This window comes from Homo sapiens, chromosome 2 (assembly GCF_000001405.40).
Source record: "Homo sapiens chromosome 2, GRCh38.p14 Primary Assembly".
NCBI classification, from domain to species: Eukaryota; Metazoa; Chordata; class Mammalia; order Primates; family Hominidae; genus Homo; species Homo sapiens.
In genome coordinates, this window is record NC_000002.12 from 112,296,183 (window position 1) to 112,324,122 (window position 27,940).

The 27,940-nt window shown below is 35.0% G+C and overlaps 1 protein-coding gene across 2 annotated transcripts in view; it reads left to right on the top strand.

The window, feature by feature from the left end:
- ZC3H6 (zinc finger CCCH-type containing 6) overlaps positions 1-27,940 on the top strand; it is a 64,463-nt gene that overhangs the window by 20,586 nt on the left and 15,937 nt on the right. For both annotated transcript variants that reach the window (NM_198581.3, XM_006712519.4), the window contains exons 2-9: positions 3,667-3,847; positions 7,047-7,169; positions 13,703-13,979; positions 15,622-15,755; positions 20,288-20,404; positions 21,039-21,150; positions 25,574-25,683; positions 26,467-26,720. In NM_198581.3, the coding sequence (NP_940983.2) occupies positions 3,667-3,847; positions 7,047-7,169; positions 13,703-13,979; positions 15,622-15,755; positions 20,288-20,404; positions 21,039-21,150; positions 25,574-25,683; positions 26,467-26,720 (1,308 nt within the window). The remainder of the gene's footprint in view (positions 1-3,666; positions 3,848-7,046; positions 7,170-13,702; positions 13,980-15,621; positions 15,756-20,287; positions 20,405-21,038; positions 21,151-25,573; positions 25,684-26,466; positions 26,721-27,940) is intronic.

A 27,940-nucleotide genomic window follows, 5' to 3' on the forward strand; every position in this document is an offset into this window, starting at 1 on the left:
TACCCCTTTTTTTGTCACTTGCACTCGTGCAAGAGGTAATCACTATTCTGACTTCTGTTATATATTGGTTTGTCTGTTTTCAAAGTGCATATACATGAAATCATACAGTACTGTCTTGTGTCTGGCTTCTTTCACTCCTCATTATGTCTATAAGATTCCTCTATATTGTTTTTTTGTAGCAGTTGTTAATTTTTTCTTTGTAGTATTCTATGATATAAATAAAGCATAATTTATATATCTATTTGCCTGTTGATAGAGATTTGTTATTTATAATTTTTTACTATTATGACTACAGCTGTCAAAAACATTCTTATACTTGTCTTTTGGTGAATATGTGCACTCATTTTCTCGGATTGTAAGGTTTTGTAGTTTATAAAAGTTCAAAACATTTTAATTGAAATAGCCAGAATGCCAAGACTGCCTCATAAGCAATTTTCAAGTCTAAGTGAATATTACCTCTCTGATTTTATAGTAGAAGCTGGGGAAAATTCCAGTGACTTTACAGCCACTTTAGGGTCGTATCATATGCCTCTTCTATGATGCAAGAGTTATGGGTATTATACATTCAGGGATTCAGTAAATAGCAAGGTGCCATGCTAGGTGCTAGAGATACCTCTGTAAAAGACAGTCATACACCCTGCTTTCACCAATGAACAAACAAGTCATTTGACATAATGTACAGAGTGCAATGATAAGAGAAATGAGAACTAGCAGAGGAGTACTTAGAATGAAGCATCTCACCTAAATCTGGGTAGTAATGGGAGACATCTTGTAGGAAATGACATCTAAACTGCATCCGAAATACTGAATTGGAATTAGCCAGGTGAAAGAGGTGTGGTGAGGCTGGTGACATGAGCTGGGCATTGAGAGATTTTAGGCACTTTTTAAGGCTTGTAGACTTGAGAAATTGAAAGTAGCTGGGTGAGCAGAGGGAACCATTGAAGATTATCTTTTTATTATAGAACACCTCAAAAAGAATAGAATGAATCCTCGTATACACATCCCAGTTTCAGCAGTTACCAACTCATGGCCAATCTTATTAAGACCACGTCCACTATCCGTAGTGGATTATTTTGAAGCAGATTTGAGATATATCATATCATATCATTGAAGATTTATGGCAGGAGAGTGACATGATCAGTTTTGTATTTAAGAAATTACACATACCTGGTAATTCTAAATTACCTTTAAAATGCCCACACCATAGTTTAGTTGTTTTTCATTTGCTGCCATTTATACATAGACAGTTACCTTTCTGCATGTACTATTTGTAGTAGTTTGCACTTTTTCAAACTATAGTGTTTTGGAAGTATGATTAAATGTTAAAATTGTTTTATGTATTCATCTTTCCATGTGTATCGGTTGGTTTATTTGCATTTTAAAATACTATTAATGAATATTTTGGTTTCTATCTATAAAATGTCATAATCAATATAAAAGTCAGTTTGTTTCTAGGATTCAGCCTCCATAATAGCAAAGATACTAGTATTTGGAAAGAAATTAGATTTATAGTTCTACTATGAATCTTTTTTACAGATTCAAGTTGAGGAATTGTTTTGTGGCTTGAGTTTTGTTACTATCTGTGTATGAAAATTTGGTTTTTTGTTTGTTTGTTTACTTAGTGTTTGTTGGTAAGAATTAATATTGACTGGCTGGGCACGGTGGCTTGCACCTGTAATCCCGGTATTTTGGGAGGCCAAGGCAGGCAGATCACTTGAGGTCAGGAGTTTGAGACCAGTCTGGCCAACGTGGTGAAACCCCCATCTCCGTAAAAATACAAAAATTAGTCGGATGTGATGGCGTGTGCCTGTAATCCCAGCTACTCGGAGGCTGAGGCACGAGAATCGCTTGAACCTGGGAGGTGGAGGTTGCAGTGAGCTGAGATCGTGCCACTGCACTGCAGTCTGGGTGACAGAGTGAGACCCTGTCTCAAAAAATATATATATACATATAGATAGATATATTGCTTTTTAAAAAATTTATTTTTTTCAGATTATGAAAAACATTTGTATTAAATATGACCAACAGTACTAGTTTTGAATAAAATGTTTTACACAGATAAGTTTAAAAAAATAGTATGACCCCAATCCAAAAGAAGGACGGTGACACAAACAGGCAAAGTATGCAAGCAATATAACAGGCAGGGAAAATTCAACTTCACTAGTCATCAAAGAAAGTAAAATTTTAGACCTATTAAGCTGGCAAAAAAAACCAACTGAAATTCCACCACCAACATTAGTAAAGTTGTAGTAAAACTAATCTGCTGATTCACTGCTAAAGATGATCTAAATTGGTGCAGCCCTTGTGCAAAGCATCATGGCGATACACGTCAAAATTCATGAGCATGGTAATTTCTGTAGACCAGAAATCTCACTCTTAAGTAAGCCCCATATCAAGAATAAAATTCAACCAAAGAATTACTTCATGCTTAAAAATGCTTATTGCCGAGTTATCGGCAAGCAATCAAATGCCCAGCTCTATGTGAATTATTTATGATATAAAAGAACTTGATCAAATGAATATACAGCCATGAAATGTAAAATATTTAAGTACAAAATACAAATTGTCGTATGCACACCAACTAAAATTTCTGAAAATATGTAAGCACAGGAAAGGGAACAATACAATAAAGAAAAAAGTTATGATTCAAATGAAGAAATGTTTAATTATTTGATACTGATACAGTATTTTTTAACTTAAAATGAGACAGATCCTTATGTGCCTTTTGAGGTTTCCCTTTAAGCCACATGCCTGTATTATCTATTGAAAGAATTATTTTTTAGAAATAAAAATAAAAAAAGAATAATTTGGCCGGGTGTGGTGGGTGGCTCACACCTGTAATCCCAGCACTTTGGGAGGCCGAGGCAGGCAGATCACGAGGTCAGGAGATTGAGACCATCCTGGCTAACACGGTGAAACCCCGTCTCTACTAAAAATACAAAAAATTAGCCGGGCGTGGTGGCAGGCGCCTGTAGTCCCAGCTACTTGGGAGGCTGAGGCAGTAGAATGGCGTGAACCCGGGAGGCGGAGCTTGCAGTGAGCCGAGATGGTGCCACTGCACTCCAGCCTGGGCGTCAGAGTGAGACTCCATCTCAAAAAAAAAAAAAAAAATTTAAGAACTGTATGCATAGGGACAAGCCATAAGCTGCACCAACTGGATCCTAGATCCTCTTTCGCCAAGGGCAGCCCATTCTTGGTTCTTAGATTCCTTTTATTTTAAAACTATAGCTGTCTATGAGCCACTAAGTTAAAAATACCTTCCTGTAAGTCGAGTGTTTCTTAGAGCATTTTAGTTTAATTCCTTTTTTTGAAGAAAATTTAGTAGATGGTAACTATTGGAGTACTTTGGGATAGCACTGTATTTATTCATGCATTCATTTTGTGAGAATCAGTGATTTTAATCTAAGAGGTTTGCAAACTTCGGCTGCTGATAATGGTTCTTACATTCTTAAAGGAATGTTAAATGAAGACGAATTCGCAACAGAAACCATATATGGCCTGCAAATGTAAAATATTTACTATCTGGGCCTTTATAGAAAAATTTTTCAAGTGCTTGTCTAAATGAATATAACATAAATCCTTGGCATATGCTTTTTTTCTTTTGAAAATCTTTCTGTAAGATTTGTTTTAGAATGATATTTGAAAATTAAAATTTTCCTTCTATAGAGAAGATGGCGAATTAGAAGATGGTGAAATAGACGATGCAGGATTTGAAGAAATACAAGAAAAAGAAGCAAAAGAGAATGAAAAGCAGAAAAGTGAGAAAGCCTACAGAAAATCAAGAAAAAAACATAAGAAAGAGAGAGAGAAGAAAAAATCCAAAAGGAGAAAACGTGAGAAACATAAGGTTAGTTAGAATCTACTTTTTATTCTTTTGATAAATGTTTATGAAATATAAAATACTGAAAATTAGAAAGTAGAAGTCATTATTTTATTATAAAACATGTGGATTAGATATTTTCATTTATGTGATTAAACTTTCTAAACAAAGATTATATGAATTATCTTAAAGATTTAAAAAGTAATTAAGTTAAATCTTTTTTTTTTTTGAGATAGGGTCTATTGTCCAGGCTTGAGTGCAGTGGCACAATTTTGGCTCACTGCAGCCTTGATCTCCCAGGCTTAGGTGATCCCCCACTCAGCCTCCTGAGTAGCTGGAACTACAGGTGCACACCACCACACTTGGCTAATGTTTTATTTTTAGTAGAGACAGGGTTTTGCCATGTTGCCCAGGCTGGGCTCAAACTGCTGGGCTCAAGTGATGTGCCAACCGTGGCCTCCCAAATTGCTAGGTTTACAGGTGTGAGCCACCACACCGGGCTTCAAGTTAAATTTTAACGCAGATTGAAATAAATAATATTTTAATTGATGGAAGCTTGTATACATGGATATTGGAAGATTAAGGAAAGAGAGTTTCATTCTCTACAGATACAGATTAGCAGCATTGGCATTGTCCATCTATTTATTATTCATTTAGGTATATGATCGAGTGCTTACTATGGAAACCTTTATGCTGTATGCTGAGGGTTATAGTAGTGAGTGAAATAGTTGGCTCTTAAAGAGTTTACATTGCAATGGGAAAGCTATGAAAAAAACAACAAGGTACTGGATAGAGAATTATGTGGATTTGGGGTAGGGAAGAAGGGGAACCTATGCTGACTGAGAAATCATGGACAAGTTGGCAGCAATGTAGGAGCAGGTTTTGAAACTCCCTGAATTTCCTCCATTAAAATCACATCAATTAGGATAACACAACCAAAACCCATTGACAACATCTACAAAAAAAGGAAGAAACAAGTTATCTCTAATAAACCTAAAAAGTACAAATGACTGGAGCCAAACGATAGACAGCAACAAGAGCAGTGTAACAACAGCATCAGTACAAATGAAGCAGAGGGAAAATAAAGGGACTTCCAGAAACCAAGTTGCCAACAGATATTCACCTCAAATGGTCAGTGCCCAGCACGGAAACCTCATGGGCCTGAGAACAGCAACAGAAACTGGGAGGGGGCTGTGCTATCACCAGTTCATGCATGAATGTAAGGTGACCACAGAAATTGGATGGTGCTGAAAAGATCTGGACCTGATGAACCCCAAATATGAATCAACCAAATTCCTTTTTATGACAGAGTCCCACACTGAGGAGGTAACTGCTGGAAGTAAAGTCTACATTGAGAAACAGGCATATAGGGCCAAGGAAAGAAATAGTCAGATAACAAATGGGGGAAGGAAGCAGAAGAGGCATAGCTCAGAAAATAGCCATATTTTTGAATACTTCATGCTAACAACAGAAGAGATAACCCTAGAGCTATGAAGCTAGGAAAGCTTTATTGGCCCATTCCATCCATTTTTTTCACATGAGAAGCAAGATAAGACTATGGTCACATTCCATAGTTGTTATTGTAAGATAAAAGAGAATAATGGAGAGTAAGTCTTCCAGAAAAGAAAGCATGCCCACAAAGCATATGAAAAATTTAACCTAATATTTTAAAATGACAAAAAATTAAGAAAACAATATAAGCTATGCTCAAACAGCATAGAATAATAACAAAACAAAACAAAACCAAAAGGAAGTACTTAATAAAATTATAAGCAGAAGTGAATGAATTAGAATGAAAACCAATAGTTTTTTAAAAAAGATCAACAACATATATATCATTGACCAAACTTATCAATAATAAAAGGGAAAAGAAAAATAAATGTATATATGCTGAGGGTGAAATAACTATCAAAAAGGAAATTCAAATCATAAGAAATTTATGTATATAATTTTATGAAAATAAATATTAAAAGCAAGATGAAATGGAAAATTTTCTAGAAAAGTACTACCTAACAAAATTAATTCTAGAGAGTCAAAAAGTCTGAGACTTTTTGGAGTTTGTAATCTACCCTACCAAGAAACACAAGGACCAAATCTTTTCAGAGTATAATTCTATTAGTATTTTTCAGGTGAAAGGTTTTCCTTAGAGCTGGAGCTGACTTCTGATGGTGACTGAGCAAACATGGCTTTTAAATAGACACTATTTATTTTAAATCCTAGCCAAGAATGATTAGATACTTAAAGTTGAAGCATTTGACAGCATAATTATAAAAATATTTCTTTATGTCACCTATCAAATCAACAAAGACAAAAGCAATAAAATCATAAAAACCAAACTCCAGACCATTTAGGAACAAGATGGAGGAAAGCAATTTGTCTTTCCTAAAATAACATTTCAGGATGGATTAGAGAAAAACAGAGCCTTCCCTTGTAAAAGCATCAGAGTTCAATCATTTCAGCAAATTTTTACTGAGTTTGTACTAGATCTAGATGCTGGGACTGCAATGATAATAATACACAGAGCCAGTGTTTTCATTGCTAGGAAATGTAAGAACTCTTTAAAGAGAATGCTCAACTCGGGAAGGTAATCATTCTGACCAGATGGAGGAGATTTGGTCCCATTTTTTTTGAAATTGTATTAATACTTGAAAAAGCTTACTCTTGATATCAATTATCATTGTACTTGACATCAATAATCATTATCAATTACTTATGCTTTTCATTTCACTTTTGTTCAATTTTGTGGGCCAGATTTATTTTATTTTTGTAATTTGTAATGTTTTGGTATCTTTTAGTTTTAGGGTACTCATGCAATAGAATAAGAACTCCAAAGCCATTTTAGGTAAAAACAAATTAATACATACTCTACTCATGTTCTATGACCTTTCTTGGTGATCTAGGAGCCAATTTTACTTTCTTTAGGTTTAGCTTAAATGTAGATCATTTTAGAGCATAGGGGCAGAATATTTCTGTTTAGGTCAAAGGGATGATGAGGAAAATGTCATAAAGTCTCTGAGCAGAGAGGAAGATAGACTTCTCAGAAAACCTCAGCGAAGTTGGAATGGTGGTGGCCTTTGGGGCAAGAATTTTTCAGTAGTACTTCAGAGTCTCCTGGAATAATATAATCTACTGGTTGGTACCTCTGGCTGAAACAAGCTTATCTAATTACTAGTTAAATTTTCTTCCTTTTGCAAATGTAACATATTTGTCTTTCCCCTCCCTTCAGCATAATTCCCCATCTAGTGATGATAGTTCGGACTACAGCCTTGATTCAGATGTTGAACATACAGAAAGTTCCCATAAAAAAAGAACTGGTTTCTACAGGGATTATGACATTCCATTTACTCAGGTATTGCCATTTTTTTGTTTTGTGATAAAACATAGATAGCATAAAATGTACCATTTTAACCCTTTTAACTGTACAATTCAGTGATATTAAGTATATTGACAGTGTTGTTCAATCATCACCACTTATCCATTTCTAGAAATTCTTGATCATTCCAAACAGAAACTCAGCACCTATTAAGCAATAACATCTCGTTTTCCCCTGCCCCCAGCCCCTGAAAACCACTATTCTATTTTCTGTTTCTATGGATTTGCCTATTCTAGGTATTTCATGTAAGTGGAATCATACAGTATTTGTTCTTTTGTATCTGGCTTATTTCACTTAACATAATATTTTAAAAGTTCACCCAAGCTGTAGCATGTGTCAGAATTTCATTCCTTTTTAAGGCTGAATAATATTCCGTTGTGTGTATATATCACATTTTGTTTATCCATTCATCTGTTGATGGACACGTGGGTGTTCATGAAAAAAAGCTTCTACCTTTTGCTATTGTGAATCATGCTGCTTATGAACATGGGTATTCAAAAATCTTTTTAAGACTTCTTTCAGTTTATTGGGGTATATATTTAGGAGCAGAATTGCTAGATCATATGGTGATTCTATGTCCAACTGTCTGAGGAACCATGAAACTTTTCCACAGTGGCTGCACTATTTTACATTATTTACAATGTTTACATATTATTTACATTACAATAATGTAAGTATAAAAATACATTTACATTATTTACATAATGCCTGAGGGTTTCAATTTCTCTACATCCTTGCCAACGTGTGTTTTTTTTCTTTGTTTTCTTTTGGAAACAGAAAATGAGTATGAAGTGGCATCTCATTGTGGTTTTGAGTATTGCCCTTTTAAGAGAAAAATTAAACTTTCAATTTTATTCTTTCTGGTATTTTATCAGACATAGGCTGTAAATTTGAAATCTTTGAACAAAAGAATACATAATGTATTAGTTTGCTAGAGCTAACATAACAAAATTTTATAGACTGGGTGGCTTAAGCAATAGAAATGTATTTTCTCACAGTCTGGAGTCTAGAAGCCCCAGATCAAGGTGCCAGCAGGGTTGGTTTCTTTTGAGGGCTGTAAGGGAAGGATCTGTGCTAGGCTTCTCTCCTTGGTTTGTCACTGGCCTCCTTCTCACTGCTTTGTCCTAACATGGTCATCCCTCTGTGTGCAGGAACCCCTGGTGTTTCTCTGTGTCCAAAATTCCTCTTATTATAGGGACATCAGTCAAACTGGATTAGAGCCCACTTTAACAGCCTCATTCTAATTTAGTCACCTCTTTAAAGGCCCTATCTCCAAATATACAGTATTTTGTGCTAGGCAAGTTATGATGCTTCTCAGAGTCACTAGGAAGTATTTGGATCAGTGTGCACTTATCTGAAAAGCCCCAAAGTTTCTGAGTTCTCGTTTTTGCCAGTCTCACTGTTCTGGTCTACAAGAGCACTATTTTTTCTCCTAATTTGGTGTTCCTAATCTCTTGTGAGTTTAGAAACCAAAATACTATTTTTGTTAGAGTTATTTCTATAGTCTGATTCACTGTTGCCGCCTTTATAGTTGAGATTGCTAAGTGACCATTAAATAAATGAGGTTTTATTAAAATATCTTCTCTTAAAATTTGAAAAGAATTATACACTAGTTAATAATTTTATCTAGTTGGGTAAATATCAGAATGTTTATAAGGTCAATATGTCCAGTGATTTTAGAGTCAGTGGTTGTTGCTATTTCTCAGAACATTTTATAACTGTTCATTAAAAATATTTTTACCACAAGTGACAAAACTTTTAATTCAGCAACACTGATATGTAGTTAGATTTATTCTTTAGAAATATTCAAAAGTCATTTGGAGACTCTTACAATGAATGAAAAGATGCTAAGGATGGGCATTATTATTTCAAGTGAGAAGACATTTGAAAATATCAAGTAATGAGACAGGTTCTGGATTCATAAGTTATCACTGAAAGTAACCCCAAAGAGGAAGTTCCAAATATTTAAAATAGTGGCAGCATTATTGTAATAAGTACATAGCCTTCTATGTGGCCACTGTGGGAGGCAAGATGGATTTGTATGTATAAACAATAATGCAGTTGTTTTAGGTATCTCACATTTTTTAAACATTATGCAGTTATTTATTGTTAATATTACGCTGACTATTATATATCCCTGTAGACATACTGTTTTATTTTTGCTTCAAAAAAATCAGTTAAAGAAATTAAGAAAACGGATGGTCTTTTATATTTATCTACATTTCATTTCCAGTGTTCTTCACTTTTTTTGTAGATCTGAGTTTTAATATGATACCATTTTCTTTTAGCCAGACGCACTGCATCGTTTAGCCTTTGCTTAGCATATCTTATAGCACAGGTTTGCTATCAAATTCTCTCAGTTTTTATTTATTAGGCCAATGTGTTTATTTTATCCTCATTTTTTATAACTTTTCATTTTGTCATAATTTCAGGCTTACAAAAAAGTTGCAAGAATGGTGCAGAGAACTCCTGTATATCTTTCATCCAGATTCCCCAGTTAACGTTTTACCACATATGCTTTACCTAATCTTTCTTCTCTAGTCTTCTCTTCCCTTCAGAGAGATCTAATTTGCCTTTATTTATTTATTTGAGACAGAGCCTTGCTCTGCTACCCAGGCTAGAGTGTAATTTGCCTTTAAACCTATCTATTAAGTATTTTTCATACGTAGAAATTTGGTTCTTTAAAATCTTCTAAGTCATTTTTATAGTTTCAAGTTTGCTGCTGAAATGTTCATATTGTCTTTTACTTGAAAATAGCAGACTTCAGATACAAATTTCTATATCTGAAGTCTGTATTTCTTTTTTTTTTTTTTTTGAGACGGAGTCTCACTTTGTTGCCAAGGCTGGAGTGCAGTGGCGTGATCTTGGCTCACTGCAACCTCTGCTTCCCGAGTTCAAGTGATTCTCTTGCCTCAGCCTCCCAAGTAGCTGGGACTACAGGCATACGCCACCACACTTGGCTAATTTTTGTATTTTTAGTAGAGACAGGGTTTCACCATGTTGGCCAGGCTGGTCTCAAACTCCTGACCTCAGGTGATCTGCCCACCTCTGCCTCCCAAAGTGCTGGGATTATAGGCGTGAGCCACCGTGCACGGCCTGAAGTCTGTATTTCTATTGCCTGTTATTTTTTGCTGGTTCTCTTTCATGTGATCCTATCTCTTCATAAGCCAATTTTTGTTTTCAGTTTTTTCTATTCTGTGCTGAGCATTTTGTAGAAATAACTTTAGGCCTAGGATGATGTTCTTTTCCTTCAGAAAGGATTTTTACTTACTTCTGCCAGATTTCTGGTGACCCTTACAAACTTTATTCCAATTTCAGGATTTGAGACCTCTGAGCCACTCAGATTCCTGAAGGCTGGGCTGCAGTCTGTGATTCGCATTTTGAGATCCCCTTATAATTGAGGATGGGGTTTACTAAGCTTCCACCTTTTCCAGACTCTGGACTCCACCTTTTGTTTCCATAGACAACAGAGACAGTCTAAAGTGCTGTTGGATCTCTCACCTGGTTCTTCCTGATGGGGTGATACTCTCGGAGCAAATGCAGCTCCAAATGCTGCCCACTTCTCAGGATTTTCATCTACTCCATGGGTATTGGTCTAGTAATCCTTCACTAATTTGTTAGCTGTCTGATGTCTACAAACGGATTTAAGAAAAATATTTTGTCTATCTTTTCTACTTTTTTTAAGAGAGACAACTAGTCTGAATTGCCCAGTCTGCTATTTACAAGAAGAGAAAGTTCAGTACCATTTCTTCCATATATATATTTTAGAGTTGACTCACTGAGAATTAAGATTATATCCTAATTACATCCAAAAATCCCTTTTCTTAGATAACAAGTATCTGCTATATAACTTCTACAATTACAGGGCAAAATTTGAATATACTGTTAACCCCCCAGCAGTTAAATTAGAGAACTTAATTTAGCTTCTTTTTTCCTCATCTTTTTTCAGGGCCTCCTTTTCCTTTATTTGTTTCCAGTGATTGCTGTGGGGCTTGTTTTTGTTTTACAGAAACCAACTCTATCCCTGCAGACATTCTAGCAGTTTGTATAGCCAAATAATCAGTTGGCAAAGTGATTACAAAAGCTATCTATTTTTGTGGAATTTGTTGTCTTTTTCATTTATCTTCTCTCGGTTGGACTTGAAAAAATACCTGCTAGACCCTCGCCCATGAGTGCGTTTTGTTCATCCCAATGATGACCATATGAACCATAAGGAATATATGAACCACTCTAGAAAAGCGGGGCTGCTCTGTCACCCTTCATTCATTTCATGCTTCCTGGAAAACTCATACAACGTGGTGTGAATGCGAATGTGAAGGACCTTAGCAGTCCACACTAGAAGTCTTTAACCACAAAAGGAGCCCTGGGATGGAACGTGCATTCTTAGGGGACTATTAAGAATATTTACAGTTGGGAATCTAGGGAGGAGGTAAATGAAAATTTAGGGATAATTCTACTTAAGGTAAGAACACAGAGATTATTTTGATAAAGCTATGCCAATCAGAGAACTGAATTAATGTTAAGAATTTAAAACTTGTATGAGAAGCATCTAATCTCCAGAGAAAAATTGATACTCATCTATTAACAAAGTAATCTTCAATCATAAAGTGTTGAAATATATCAAGTATTAATATAGTCACAGTTTTAATAAAAGGAAATATAACCATCATTTAACTAGTTAATTTAATCTTCAACTTAATCTAAGCAATTATTTTTTGTTTTGCTTTAGTTTTCATAGTGGCTTTAAAAAATGTCAGAAACACTGTTTTGGCTACAATCATAAATTCCCTTTTGAACTTCTGAAGTGCTAGACTAAGAATGGAGTTCATAAACTTTAAAAAGTACTACTTAAAACAAATCAAAAATATGATAGTGTTTTTAAAATTTAAAATTGATGAGTGAATTGGTTTTCTTGATTAGTTATGCATTTTTTCTCTATTTTATAATTAGAAAGATCTAATACTTCATTGCATTTCATTAAATACGTAGTCTCATGTTGGTATTTTGCCAGAGTAGTATTTTATTTTATTTTATTTATTTATTTATTTATTTATTTATTTATTTATTTTGAGACAGGTTCTCACTGTGTCACCCAGGCTGGAGTGCAGTGGTGCGATCTTGGCTCACTGCAACTTCCTTTCACCTCCTGGATTCAAGCAGTTCTCCTGCCTCAGACTCCTGAGTAGCTGAGACTACAGGTGTATGCTACCACATTCAGCTCATTTTTGTATTTTTTGGTAGAGACGGTGTTTCACCATGTTGGCCAGGCTCTTCTCGAACTCCTGACTTCAAGTGATCCACCTGCCTCAGCCTCCCAAAGTGCTGGGATTACAGGCGTGAACCGCTGTGCCCGGCCAGAGTAGTATTTTAATATCACATTTAAAATGCACTAACCTGGCCAGGCACAGTGGGTCACACCTGTAATCCCAGCACTTTGGGAGGCTGAGGCAGGCGGATCACAAGGTCAGGAGTTCGAGACCAGCCTGGCCAACATAGTGAAACCCCATCTCTACTAAATATACAAAAATTAGCCGGGCATGTTGGTGCGCGCCTGTAATCCCAGCTACTTGGGAGGCTGAGGCAGGAGAATTGTTTGAACCCAAGAGGCAGAGGTCGCAGTGAGCCAAGATCATGCCACTGCACTCCAGCCTGGGCAACAAGAGCGAGACTCTGTCTCAAAAGAAATAAATAAATAAAATAAAATGCACTAAGCTAAAGATGAATTATTTGGTTTGGATTTGTCTAGATCCTTAAGTTGTAATTATGTGCAATTTTTTCTCGCTTTACTAAAAAAAATTGACAGAGGATACAATAGAACTAATAAAAATATTTCAGTGAATAGAGACAGACCTGAATACTGTCATTTAATAAACTTCTAGTACTAAAGTGTATTCTTTGTTTTCACATGCTTTAGTAAGGAAGCAATAAAACTAATCATGTTTGTTGTAATAAACAGTTTCTAATAAGCAACTTATTCACTAGATGTTTTTCACTATTAGGGAAAGCTCTGTTTTTTCTATTAGACCCTTGATATAGACATTTTCTTTTTATAAAATTTTCCACACATACAGTTTTTTATTAAATATAATGTAATTTGAGAATTTTCCAGTGTTAGGAGAAATAGTATGTTTTACCACACTCCTCCACCCCAAGCTATTTAACTATCTTTTCCCTATTTTCAAAAAGGCCTTTTCATTTTTTGGAGGAAAAATTTATGTATGATTGTGTGTATTTTTACTTTTTCCTGTGTGTAAGATACTGAGACATAGAACATAGAAAGCAAAGGCTAAAGCATAAAGATAACAATATTTAATTATCTCAGGGTAACATTTAGGCTTTTGAAGTTAGTGTTAAGTAGTATCATAGATAAGTACTGATCAAGAGTCAGAACTAATAACTGTCTTTTCTCCTTTCTCCAAACTTGCTGGGGGGAAAAGGATGTCCTGTGCTACTGTCAATTGCTATATATAATTGAAAAATCCTGATAATGATTGTCCATTTTCACTTAGCGTGGACATATATCAGGAAGCTACATAACATCAAAGAAGGGTCAACATAACAAAAAATTTAAAAGTAAAGAATATGATGAGTACAGCACCTACAGTGATGACAACTTCGGTAACTACAGTGATGACAACTTTGGTAACTACGGTCAGGAAACAGAGGAAGATTTTGCCAATCAGCTGAAACAATACAGGCAAGCTAAAGAAACCTCAAATATTGCTTTAGGGTCATCATTTTCTAAAGAATCAGGAAAAAAACAGAGAATGAAAGGAGTTCAGCAAGGTAAGTTTGAAATTACAGTCTGTCTTAGAATGTGAGAACCTTATTAAAACAGGCAGCTATGGAGTAAAAACTTAGAAACTTATCCCTGTTCAAGATTAGCTTATTCTTGTAGAACCTAAATTCATTTTCTTTTATTTTGTAGACCTTGAGAACAGAATCTACAAATATTTCAATCTGTATGATACATGAATATTTCAGTTGGAAAGATATTCTAATGATTTAAAAATACATAAAAATGCAATACAACTTTCTTATATTTTTCCCCTTGCTTCTGTGTCATGTCAGTATACAGTTATCTCTGTTGCTGTATGTATTGCTTTAAATTTAGACCAGCTGGGAAGCTATACTTTTATTAGGCTTTAAAATACAGCAGTCATTTTTGCTAAGCAAGTGTGCATGGACTATGAACATCTTTTAAAATTGGAGATAAAAACATAATCTAAAGACATTTCTGCACTGATCACCTGTTTATCTGCAATATTGAATTACATGGTCCCTGGAGAGACCAGGACAAGTTGCCAGCTCTTGACAATAAGTGAAGAAACTATGGGTCATGTAAGCCTCAAATCAGCCTTAAGTATTGGCTAGTCAATGTATCTGCTTCAGGAAAAGTGGAGCAATATGAGACTGAAATGAAGTAGTGAGGAGCCACACTCTGTATAACTACCCTTTAATTATCTTTGCATACAGGAATCAGTTATGAGTAAATTTGGTTATTTCTATGACTTTATTTTTTCTCGATTTCCTAGCAGGATTTCTTTGAAAAATATGAATGTAGGCTTTAGCTGAAATAAAGGGAAAATAATTTTTCTACACATATGCTGTTGTACTGAGCAAGTTTGTTCCTGTAGTCTAGATGTTGTGGTATCAGGGATCATCCCACTTGGACAATAAGGGTAATGCAAAAAAGTCTTGTTCATCCCTTCCCACCTGGGGCTTTTCTTTTCAAGCTCCTACTTGTTTGTGCTCTTAAAGAACTGAGTATTGGCCAGGCCAAAGGCTTACACCTTAAGTCCCAGCTACTCAGGAAGCTGAGGAGGGAGGATTGCTTGAGCCCAGGACTTCAAGGTTACAGCAAGCTATGTTCTTACCACTGTATTCCAGTCTGGGTGACAGAGTGAGACCCTGCCTCTAAAAAGAAAAACTAATTTTTGTAATTTGGGTATCTTTTTACATACTTTTAAATACCAAGTTTTTCAAAAACAAAAGAAGTATAATTTTTCCTGGAGATATATGTGTATATATCTACTCAAAATTACCAGTGGAAATTTGATTTGCTGCTAATTAACCACTGATACCTACAATGTCTTCCTTAAATAGGAATATAATATTTGATTCTCTTAAAAACAGAAAGGCTTGTTAATGATCTTATGCTAAGGAAAATTAAAAAGAATAAAACTTGATTTCGCTTCTCTAGCCATGTGTATCCTTGTTCCTTGCCTTCCTATGTTGTTAACATCCCTTAAGAAGCAGTACCAAGGAGATAAGATACAAAGATTTAATTTTTTTCATTGAATCTAGAAGGAAAAAAAAGAATGCACTGTATATTATAGACTATTAAAATGTGCTGTTCCTTATAAACTAATAAATTGAAAGGTATGCTGTTTTTCTTTTAAATTTAAGTACATTTTAACTTTTCTAGGTATTGAACAGAGAGTTAAAAGTTTTAATGTTGGTCGTGGACGTGGCTTGCCGAAGAAAATCAAACGAAAAGAACGTGGGGGAAGAACCAATAAAGGGCCTAATGTGTTTTCAGTATCGGATGACTTTCAAGAGGTACTAAGAATTTATGTATAAGGAGGGGAGGAGCTTTTTCATCTTTTAATTTATTTGATGGCAAAGAAAGCATTGTGATTTTAATGATACTTCTCTAGTAAATGAAAAATTACCAGCTCAGATAAAATGAGTATCAATAACCTCCAAAAAATAGTTGTTAATTAGTTGTGAAACTAATTTACAGATTTTGCTGACTTTGAAATAAAATTGTTATGTTTGAAAGAACCTCAAAATAAAATTGCTAAGTTTAAAAGCAAAAATATATCCTCTATTAGTCTTCTTTTGTGCTTTTCTTTCCTAGGAATCATCTTCCCCAGATGTAACTGGCAATGAAGTGCTAATAGCTCAATATGTAGGGGGGACAAGAAGGGAGGCAGTGGTAAATTAACTTCCTTTTTAGAGTTGAAAAGATTGAAAGAGAAGAAAGGGGGATATAAATGGTTGGAAAGGTGAACTTATGTATGTTACATGTTGTAGATATTCAATAAATATATGTCAAATTGAGTTGAACTCTGAACATGAACTTTTAACCTTGTAGTGACTCCCTGGATTACTGTGGTCCAATTCCTGTGTTCTACTACTGTTCTAGTAAGATTTGATTGAATTATAGAGGCAATAGTGGGTCATTAAAAGCTGGAGCTTTGGCTGGGCACAGTGGCTCACGCCCGTAATCCCAGCACTTTGGGAGGCCAAGTCGGACAGATCCTGAGGTCAGGAGTTCAAGACCAGCCTGGCCAACATGGAGAAACCCCATCTCTACAAAAATACAAGAATTTGTCGGATGTGGTGGTGCACATCTGTAGTCCCAGCTACTCGGGAGGCTGAGGCAGAAGAGTCGCTTGAACCCAGGAGGCGGAGGTTGCAGTGAGCCAAGATGGCTCCACTACACTCCAGCCTGGGTGACAGAGCGAGACTCCATCTCAAAATAAAAAAAAAAAAAAAGCTGCAACTTTGTGTGAGAGCTGAGAGGGATAGCTATATACTATAATTTGAAAATGCTTGGTTTTCTGATCTCTCAGTTTAAAGATAGTGGGCAGAGATTTCTTAATATGCACTCCTTAGTATACTGTTTCAGGAGATGTTAACAGGTGTGACCTAAAAAAAGAAGGTCAGACCCAAATAAATTTGCGAAACCCAGCACATGCCATCTGCTTTTGGAGATTCTCAGTTGACATTAATGTAGTAAAGCTTGTGAGCAGCTTAGGCAAAAAGAAGCTTATTTTGTTCAACCCATCATTTACTCAACTACAAACTATTTTTTTCCCTACACACCTACTAACATTCACTGAGCCACTCACTGTTCCATGGAACAGCAGCTTTGGAATTACTATGGTTATTATTTTAGAATTTTGGGGTGACTAAAAACCTGCCTGTCATCTTCTTAGACACCAGTAGACCTTTAGAATATGCTGATTTCCCTAACCCAAACTAATACAAATGCTTTCTAAGTAAGCCTGCACCTATACCCAGTTCTTACACCCTATACCTTTAAACAAAATTAGCTTCCAGGAAAGTGTGACTTTGAGCAAGTTATACCTGTCTCTTTGCCTCAATTTGCTTAATCTGCAAAATGAGGGTATAGTATTAAGTTAACTCTAAGGGCCCCATCAAGCACAGCATTTTAGATGTCTGTAGATCTGGGCTATACCTAAAAGATAATCATATAACAGAAAAATAAAGATAAAAATACATTATCAGTCATGTCAATTTATTGGCTATCACGAGAGACATTTCTTATGATTCCAGAAACAACTGGGAGTGTGCCAGAGCCCACGGAAGCAGTTCATGTTCAGGAATGGTCTGCAGGTGGCCCATCCAGAATAGCATGAACATGGAGGCCACAGCAGAGTGGCCAAGATAGATCCGTCTCTGTCCTAGGCCTTTCAGAGACTATGAGAGTCTCCAAAGCCAAATCAATTCGGGGTACCTTCAGATTCATCATAATTTTTTTGAAAAATCAAGAGTAGTCACAAAGAAGCAAACTTTCACTGAATTTTAAAGGCTTCTTCATTTTATTGGCCATAATACTCTTAAATTGTTTTAGTATTTACTGTACCTATTACATTTTTTTGTAATAAATATTATTTTCCTGGTAGATCCTTACATTTCCTCTACCTGATATATATTAATATTTTATGCTCTTGTCTCTTGTATCAATATATCTTCTAAAGTAAATAAGTTTTAAAATGACCAAGTACAGTAGGTAGCTTGGTTTTTTTTCTCCCTCCATCTCTCCCTCTTTCTCTCCTTCATTCTTGTATTTTTTTTTATTCGCAGTACTGTCTTGTAATGCAAAGAATATAGGAGGAGTTGCAAGGCACAATTCCTGAGTTCTGTCAGTCTGCTAACTCACCATATCTTCTGGGCACTTAATTTTGCCCTAAAAATTTATTTGTTAAAGTTGCTTTAGATTTTCTATAGTACCTTGATTATAGTCAGGTTTCCCATAGCTGTGGACACTGACATACTTTCTACTCATTTAAGTGGAACTAAACTAAAAAACAAAACAAAACACTTCCTCACCACAATCCTCTATTAAAACAATGAAACATTATTTGGAAGTAATGTATACAGAAAGAGTAAGTTATTAATGAAACGCTAAGTACAACTTGTTGCATTTTTCAGGGTGTGTGTGTGTGTGTGATTACCTAATTTTTTTACTTTTTAATTTCAGAGTTATATTCCTCAGGTTGCTCATTGATTTTTGCATAATTTACTTTCTTTGGCTGTTTATTTTATTTTATAACAGCCATGATTCTTTGTATAGAATGCCTATGTGAGCTGGTCATTTATATCTGCTTATTCTAAACGAATCTCTAAACATAAAAATGTTTGTGAATCAAATTTATATAGATTTGAGACACTTTAAATGATTCTGTCATAGTATATTATAAGCAATTTCATTGTGTTTTCCTGGGGTAAATTAGGTATGTTTATATTTTTAAAACGAATCTCTAGGATTATCTGTTTACTTTGTATTCTTGTACCTTTTTTAGAATTCTTACAGTAAAATGTGATTTGAGCTGTGAATGCTGGGGATCAGATTTCAATTTAGACATCTATTGCCTCAATGTTTGCTGTGAGGCAATCTCTTGTTTTCAGTAGATTGAACTTTATGCTCTATCTTTTAGCAAATTAAGAGAAAAGGGAAAACAGAAATCAAATCAGAAGAGTAAATAGTCATTGAACTCCTATGATATACAGGGCACAGTGCATGCCAGGTGCATGAAAAATAATGTTGTTTTTTAGAGTTGATGAATGTAACTCATTACATTTAGCATGGCTAAGCATCATACTCTGCCTTGTTACTTAATCTTATACTTAAAGCAGAAGTTGAATAGGGGACTCAGGAGAAGTAAGGAAAACAAGTAGGGCTATAAGATTTCTTTTCCTTTAATTTTCTTAAGTTTTTTTCTTAACTTTTTATATTTAAAAGTTAAAAGTAATACACGCCGCCTGTTTGTTTGCCCTTTTTTTCCCCTAAAGAAAGTACAAAATAACCACACACATAAAATCTCTAATCCTGCCATCCAGAGACATACACTGTAAAATATGGGGGTATATTCTTTTTGTCTTTTTTCCTTTGCCTTTATTTATTATTGTAGAATTGGGATCAATTTTTTACTTCATAAAATATTGTAAACTTTTTTTTTGTTTTTTTTTTGTTTGTTTGTTTGAGACACTCTCACTCTGTTGCCCAGGCAGGAATGCAGTGGCGTGATCTTGGCTCTCACTGCAGGCTCCACCTCCCAGGTTCAAGCGATTCTCGTGCCTCAGCCTCCCAAGTAGCTGAGATTACAGAGGTGTGTGCCACCACACCTGGCTAATTTTTTGTATTTTTAGTATGGACAGGATTTCACTATGTTGGCCAGGCTGGTCTCAAACTCCTGGCCTCAAATGATCCCAAAGTGCTGGGATTACAGGCATGAGCCACCATGCCTGATCTGTAAACAGTTTTTATGATCCAAAGTTGTTGATTTTTTAATGACTGCATAATATTCTACCACCTAAGTGTATCATAATATATTTGACCAGTCTTCTAGTTTTAAATGTGTAGAGTGTTTCTCGTTTTGCTGTTTGTTTTACTATGTCAGTATTTTATTATATGACTAGATCTTTGTGTCTCCCTGATAATTCTTTCAAAATAATCCCAAAAAGTACAAGTTGTATGTCAAACAATATGGATATTTTAAAGTCTTTTATAACATACCTATCAATAATATGAGTGCATATTTTATTGTGTCTTTGCCCAAATTGAGAATTGTGAATTTTTAAACTTTTTATAATTTTATTTAAAAAGTTATTCATCTTCATTAAAATAGAAAGAAATAGGCTTTTTTTTGCGATCACTAGTAGCATAAGTAGATTACTAGACACATATCTCTCTCCAAATAAATGAATAGCATCAGAATGTTCAATCTTGATCACTTTTTGTAGTCAATTTGTACTTTTTTCCAGATCAACTTAATCATACATTTTGATACCTATTAATATTTCATATGCTGCATTCAAATGGAATTTTTTTCTTGCAGTATAATAAACCAGGGAAAAAATGGAAGGTTATGACTCAGGAATTTATTAATCAGCACACAGTGGAACACAAAGGAAAACAAATCTGTAAATACTTCCTGGAAGGGAGGTGTATTAAGGTAAATTTATAGAGGTATCATAAGTCATTTTAACTTCCAAAATAATCTTTAAAATTAAAGTCTTTTGGGGGATGGTTAATTTTTTTCTCTTCTCATATAGTTGTAATAAAACTGGGTCTTTAAAATGTATCTTGCATGGAAATACCGTACATTAGAGCTCATTTAATTATGTTCTGGGACAATAACATAATTTGTTGAAATCGGATTTGTTTAAAAGACACATAATGCTACGTGGCAAGTACTGTTCAAAGTACAACTAATATTAAATGATTTAATCCTACAGTGACCCTACAAAGTAGTTAATGTTATTATCCCCATTTTATTCATGGCACCAAGAGGTTAAGTAAGTTCCCATGGTAGCTCAGCAAGAAATGGTGAGTGCTGGTTGCCAATTCAGGCAGTATCCTGTGAGGTCTTGCTCACTGTGCTGCCTTAATGCATGTAGCTACATCCACTGTCTTGGGCAGGAATTCTAAGGGGTCATTTGAGTTATTATTTGTTCATTATTAAAGACTGAAGATAATGACCATAATTTTACCATGAGACACCATGTAGAAAATTCAGCTGTTGTTTCTTTGTTTCTCATTGTTTCTTACCTTTTTTTCTTTTTTCTTTTTTTTTTTTTTGTGAATAGGGAGATCAGTGTAAATTTGATCATGATGCAGAGTTGGAGAAAAGAAAAGAGATCTGCAAATTTTATTTACAAGGATATTGTACCAAAGGAGAGAACTGCATTTATATGCATAATATCCTTTATTTAAAATGTATGTTAAATAAAATGCTGGGGTTTTAAAGCATCATTGAGGTTTTAAAAAATAATAAATACACCCTATAAAGCCTAGTTTGGTTTTAAATTTAAAACAACACATTACATAAACCCAGTCTAGTCAAACTTTGTACTTCAAAAGAGCAAACTGACCTTTATTCTTTAGGGAAATGAGATAACTGCCCTTTGGAAAAAATTCTGTGAAGGGAAGGTACTTTAATATAATCAGCTTAAAGTATTTCAAGAGATTGTGCTTCCTGAAGGAGTAGTTGGCAAAATACTTATTTTATTCCATAATTATTTTACTTAAGTTCGGGAGTAAAAAATTATCATTGTGAAGATTATAAGTCTTATCAAATCTTACCACTCAATGATAGATGCTGTATATTCTTCCCCACTCTCCCTTGGGAAATATATACATTTAAATTGTATTCCTGCTCCTACCCAAATTGGAATTTCACTATATATAGTGTTCTGGTCCTTTAAAAAAATGTATTCTGCAATTTTTCCATGTTAATTTTCCCCCAAATATCTGTCAGGTTGCTCACTACGACTTATGACTAATGAAGCTTTCCCCCACAGAATTGAAACTCTATCACAGACAAAATGTTTACATATATGGATTTTTCTTCTGGACTTCGTGTTTGGCTCCATGGATTTGTTCACCCTCATGTCTGTCTTGCTTTGCTGTGATTATTTCTGCCACAACAGCCACGGTAATATTTGGTAGATTCTGATGTTTATTTTTCCAGATAAATTTTTAAATTCTGTTGTCGTGTTTAAAAAATGTGAAAAAAAAGAAAGTGAATAAAATGAAAAATGCCTGTTATCATAGATCAAAATGTCAAAAAATGGAACGATGTAATTACCAGAGGAATACATGATGAATTGGAACAGAAAAATTTCCTGTCTCAAAATCCAGAAGCAAAAAGGGAACAGATTGAAATTTTGACTCCATGAAAAAGCTTGCATTTGCAAAACAAATACATATAACATGAGCTAAATAATAAGATAAATAATGAAGTGAGAAAGATTATGTGTAATTTATATCACTTACGAAGAGGTCATATCCTTAATATATGAGTTTCTAAACATTGAGAAGAAAAATGAGGGAAGAGATACAGATAATTCCCAGAAAGAGAAATGCAAATGGTCCCAAAACATACAGAAAGATGTTCAATCTTGTTCCTAATAAGGGGAATGTAATTTAAGCTACACTGAGATAACATTTGCAGCTGTGTCACGTTTGCAAAAATAAAAAAATCGTGACAGTGAAGTTTGTTAGCAAGGATGTGAGAAGACCTTGATGCTGGCAATGTCAAAATGGTGCATTCCTATGGAGGAGAGCTTGGTAAATGCAATATGCATTTACCCTTTGACCCAGCAATCCCACGTTTTGCAGTTTCTCCACAATAGACCTGGGCAGTGATTACTGATGGCTGCTAAAATCATGAGGTGAAAAGTTAATTAGGAACTTTACAACTGATGGATGGAGCTGACAACACCTGAAAGGACTGATCAGTCTTAACATTACTAAAAAGAAACAACCAGATATTAAATGCCTTTTGATATGATACAGTAGAGAGTATTTGAATACCATCTATGACCAATATTAAAATTAACAAATGATACAAAAATAAAAGGGAAAGGGGAACTTCTAGAAATCAGTAAAAGTAACTTGGGAGATGTATTAACTAGATACAATTTGTGGATCATCTTTATGTCCTGATCTGAAGAAAGGAATTATAAAAACATACTTTTTTAAAAGTCTGGAAAATTTGTATATTGACTGGTTACTAGTTGAAATTAACACATTAATTTTGCCAGGGTGGTAATGAAGTCGTGATTGGTAAGAAAAAGTATTCCTGGCCAGGCATGGTAGGTCACACCTGTAATCCTAACACTGGGATGCTGGGGTGGGAGGATTGATTGAGGCCAGGAGTTGGAGACCAGCCTGGGTAACATAGTGAGACACCTCCCCCACTCCCATAACTAATTTAAAGAGGAAAGGGGCCAGGCACGGTGGCTCATGCCTGTAATCCCACCACTTTCGGAGGCCAAGGCGGGTGGATCACCTGAGGTGAGGAGTTCAAGACCAACCTGGCCAACATAGTGAAACCCCATCTCTACTAAAAATACACAAATTAGTTGGGCATGGTAGCGTGCACCTGTAATCCCAGCTACTTGGGAAGCTGAGGCAGGAGAATCGCTTGAACCTGGGAGGTGGAGGTTGCAGTGAGCCAAGATGGTGCCACTGCACTCCAGCCTGAGCAACAGAGCAAGACTCTGTCTCAAAAAAAAAAAGGAAAGAAACAATAGTCCTTATGTTGAGAATAGGTATGGAAATATTTACAACAAATGATGAAAGTTGTTGAACCTATGAGGTCAACATGAGAGGGACTTCATTTTATTATTCTCTCTACTTTGGTATGGTTAATGACCTTCAAACAAACTTAGAAAAAAAATCCTAAGTAATGTCATCCTACAGAGAACCATACTTGGAGTATGGCATAAAGCCTTTCAGACTTTTTTTCTATGCTGGTATGTATGTATGAATGGATGTGTATATGTTTATACACATAATTTTTTATTTTTGTGAGACGGAGTTTCACTTTTGTTGCCCAGGCTGGAGTCCAATGGCGCGTTCTCCGCTCACTGCAACCTCTGCCTCCCGGGTTCAAGCAATTCTCCTGCCTCAGCCTCCCGAGTAGCTGGGATTACAGGCATGCACCACCACGCCTGGCTAATTTTTGTATTTTTAGTAGAGATGTTGTTTCTCCATGTTGATCAGACTGGTCTCAATCTCCCGACCTCAGGTGATCCGCCTGCCTCGGCCTCCCAAAGTGCTGGGATTATAGGCGTGAGCCACTGGGCCCAGCCTATACACATAATTTTTTAGAAAAATGAAATCTATAATGATTGTGAATATTGTATTTTTAAATTTAACATTTACATTAATATGGACTGTATTTTAATACACAGTGTGTTAATAAGGACCTTTATTCAGATGATTAACTCATTGTCTTATCTTTACTGATTTAAAATGGCATCTTCACCAGACCCTAAATTCTCATTTGTACACAGTTCTGCTTCTATACTACTCTTATCTATTGTGGTATTTGATTATTCACCTCTGTAAGAGTATGTTTGATATTTGGTAAGGCAAATACTCCTTCCTTTTTAAAAAAAATGTTGTAATAGTCTCAGGTCAGAAGTGATTTGGCAAATAATAAAAACAAATAAAATGTAATGAATTTGTCCTATTCAAGAAAAATAAATTTTTTCAGATTTGACATATTTCTTTAGAAAGCAAATACTTTATTCTGTTTCTGAAAGCTTTCCATCTATTCTTATGGGGTTTTTGTTATATAGTCATGCTGTTTGTAAATAATAATAATTTTACTTCATTTACAATATTTATACCTCTTATTTAATTTTAATTGTATTGGCCACATTTCCAGAAGAATGTTAAATAATAGTGACTGTGGCAGACATAAAACATGTTTTAATGATAGTGCCTTTTTGTTTTAGCTTGTGGCTGCAGTTTTAAAGTAAGTTTTAAAAAATCAATTAAGAAAGTATATTTTTATTTTACTAAGAGGATTTTTTTAAACCTAAAAAAGAAATCTAAAAAAGATTTTGAATTTTATCAGTTGCCTTTTGCATCTGCCAAAATGATCATATAATTTTTTTCTTGACCTTATCAGTGTTTACAATAATAAATTTCCTAAAACCATCCAGCTATTCCCTGAACATACATCACCTGAGAGTGGTATATTTTTCACTATACTTCTAGATTTAATATTTTCTTTATACGTTTGTCTCCAAAATCCTAAGATTAGTCTGTAGTTGATTATTGGGATATTTGCCTTTAACATGACATATTAAGCCTCTTAATTTTCTTTATAAATATAAGCTCTTGCTACAAAATTTATATAATATTTTATTTTATTGTGAAAAGTAACAGAGCTTATGTAATTAAAATATAATAGTGTTTGCTATAATAGTGATAAATGTTTTTTTTCCTTTAAAAAGTGGCTTTCTAGTTTTAATAGAGAAAAAAGCTGTTTGAATGTTTTTGTATAATTAAAATATCTAACCTTAATAGAATTAAAAATAAGCTGATGTGATTATAGTAAATTCAGTATAATATATAATAATACAGCCTTATTGATTCAGCACAGTTGTGGTTTTGTGTGTGTGTGTGTGTTAAGAACACTTAGCATGAGTTCTACTCCCTTAACAAAATTTTAAGTATACAATACAGTATTGTTGACTATAGGTACAATGTTACATAGCAGATCTCTAGAACTTAACTATCTTGTCTAACAGTTGTAGGTTTTGGTTTAAAAAAAAATTAGACCTTGATTTTACTTGGTCTTTTCCTTAATATTTTTATTTACATGAATTTCCATGCAAGTTCTATCATAGTGGAGCAAAATGTTACCAGGGAGACAACTGTAAATTTTCCCATGATGATCTAACTAAAGAAACAAAGAAACTTTTGGACAAAGTGAGTAATATTTTTGTACCTTGATTATGTCTCTCCACAAATACATTTGACTTGAATCATATTTTATAAGTGATATTTTATGAAACTGCTGAGAAATTGAAAGTTTACTATTTTATATTTTATTCTATTTGAGCAATATTCTTTACCTTTTTGAACCTCATTCTGTTTATAAAAAATGAGGAGTTAGCTATCTCCAAACCATTTCAACTTTTTTTTTTCTTTCTCTCCCCCTTCCCTCCTTCCCGTCTTCCCTCCTTCCCTCCTTCCCTCCTTCCCTCCTTCCTTCCTCCCTCCCTCCCTCTTGCTTGCTTGCTTTTTCTTTCTTATTTCTCTCTCTCTCTCTCTGTCTCTTTTCTTTTCTTTTCTTTTGGCAAGGTCTCGCTGTGTTGTCCAGGCTGGGTGTAGTGGCGTGATCTTAGCTCAGCTTACTGCAACCTCCACACCCTGCTCCTTGCCAACCCCCTGCCCTGCACCGCCCCCCACCCCTGCCCCTGGGGTCATCCTCCCACCTCAACCTTCTGAGGTGGGCACTACCATGCCCAGCTAATTTTTGCATTTTTTGTAGAGACAGGGGTTTCTCCGTGTTGCTTGGGCTGGTCTCTTGGGCTCAAGCGATCCAGCTGCCTTGGCCTTCCAAGGTGTTGAGATTAAAGGCGTGAGCCACTGCGACCAGCCCATTTCAACTTTAATATTATTTTTCTACTAACCAAACTTAAGTCTTCTAGTTTTAAATGTGAGGAAAAGACTCGCTTTGAAATAGTAATCTTTGCCAATTATTTTTAGGTGTTGAATACTGATGAAGAACTCATAAATGAAGATGAAAGAGAATTAGAGGAACTTAGAAAGCGTGGCATAACTCCTCTTCCCAAACCACCTCCAGGGGTTGGGCTTCTGCCAACCCCTCCAGAGCATTTTCCCTTTTCTGATCCTGAAGACGATTTTCAGACAGATTTCTCTGATGATTTTAGGAAAATTCCATCTCTTTTTGAAATAGTTGTAAAACCTACTGTGGATTTAGCGCATAAAATTGGGAGGAAGTAAGTGAAAAACTTTCAAAATGACATCAAATATTTTTTTCTGAAAATTATCATTAAGAAACTAAGTCATACTCCAAGCTAATCATGTAATTAAACTTGGTTAGAGATAGCACATATCTGGCATGCACGCAGATTGTTGCTTCCACCTTTGTTTTCGGTTCCCACCTGCTGCTTGCCATCAGTGCTTTCCCATATGGAATCCTTATACAGCTTCTGAAACTTCTCAGCATAGTAATCCTGAAGAACCCTGCCTGGTGGGTGGATTTGGCATTTTCACTTGATTATGAGGCTGCATTGTCATTGATAATGCCTTCAGATTGTGGGAAATAGGTCTCCACATATTTGATTATTTTGAAGAGCAATTCCTTAGGCTATTGGCGGAAGACCTCTGGATCCAGATTTTCATTTTCTAACACCACCATTTCAGCCCTGCTGCCAGTCCCCAAGCGTCTGTGCACCTGGGCCCTAAGTCACATTGTTGAGCATTCGTTTAGTCCTGACAACTCAGGAAAGCAAGGAGGTCTCAGCCAATGAGGAACAAGAAATCTATAGCAAATATCACAATTCATTTGAACCATTAAAAGTATTTCTACTAATGTCAGGAAGATAAGTATGTCCACTATTTTGGTAATATTATATATTGTATCCTGGTCAATGAAATAAGAGAAATAAAAGTTATAAAGATTAGAAGTGGAGTGGCAGCCTAATTATTTGGGAAGTTTCCCTCAACCCAAAGGAATCAACAGACAAAACTATTGGAAATAATAATTAAATTAGCAAGATGTCAGGAAAGAAGAGCAACATTCAAAAACTGAATGTCTTTTTATATGCCAGCAATAACCAATTACAAATTATTATAAAAAGTTGGATGTTTATATAGTAGATTCTAATTTTACTGTAAAAGGTTATATATGCCTGAAAAAGAGGACTAGTAGGAGAGAACCAATAAAATTTTATCTCTGGGTAGTGGGATTAGGGGTGATTCTTATTTATCTTTGTACTTTTCTGTGTTTTTCAAAACAGTAAGTTTTAGAACAGCTAACGGTAAGCAGCAAGTGGGCTAAAATGAAAGCATGAGGTCTATTTCGTGTTTCTACCTATCGACGCTATGGAACAAATTGCTTCTTAAACACACAGTATTCTATTCTGATGTAAAAAAAGTACTTAACCAATATCTGTTTAGAAGTGTTAACATTCTTGTTTGTTTCTTTTTCTTTGAA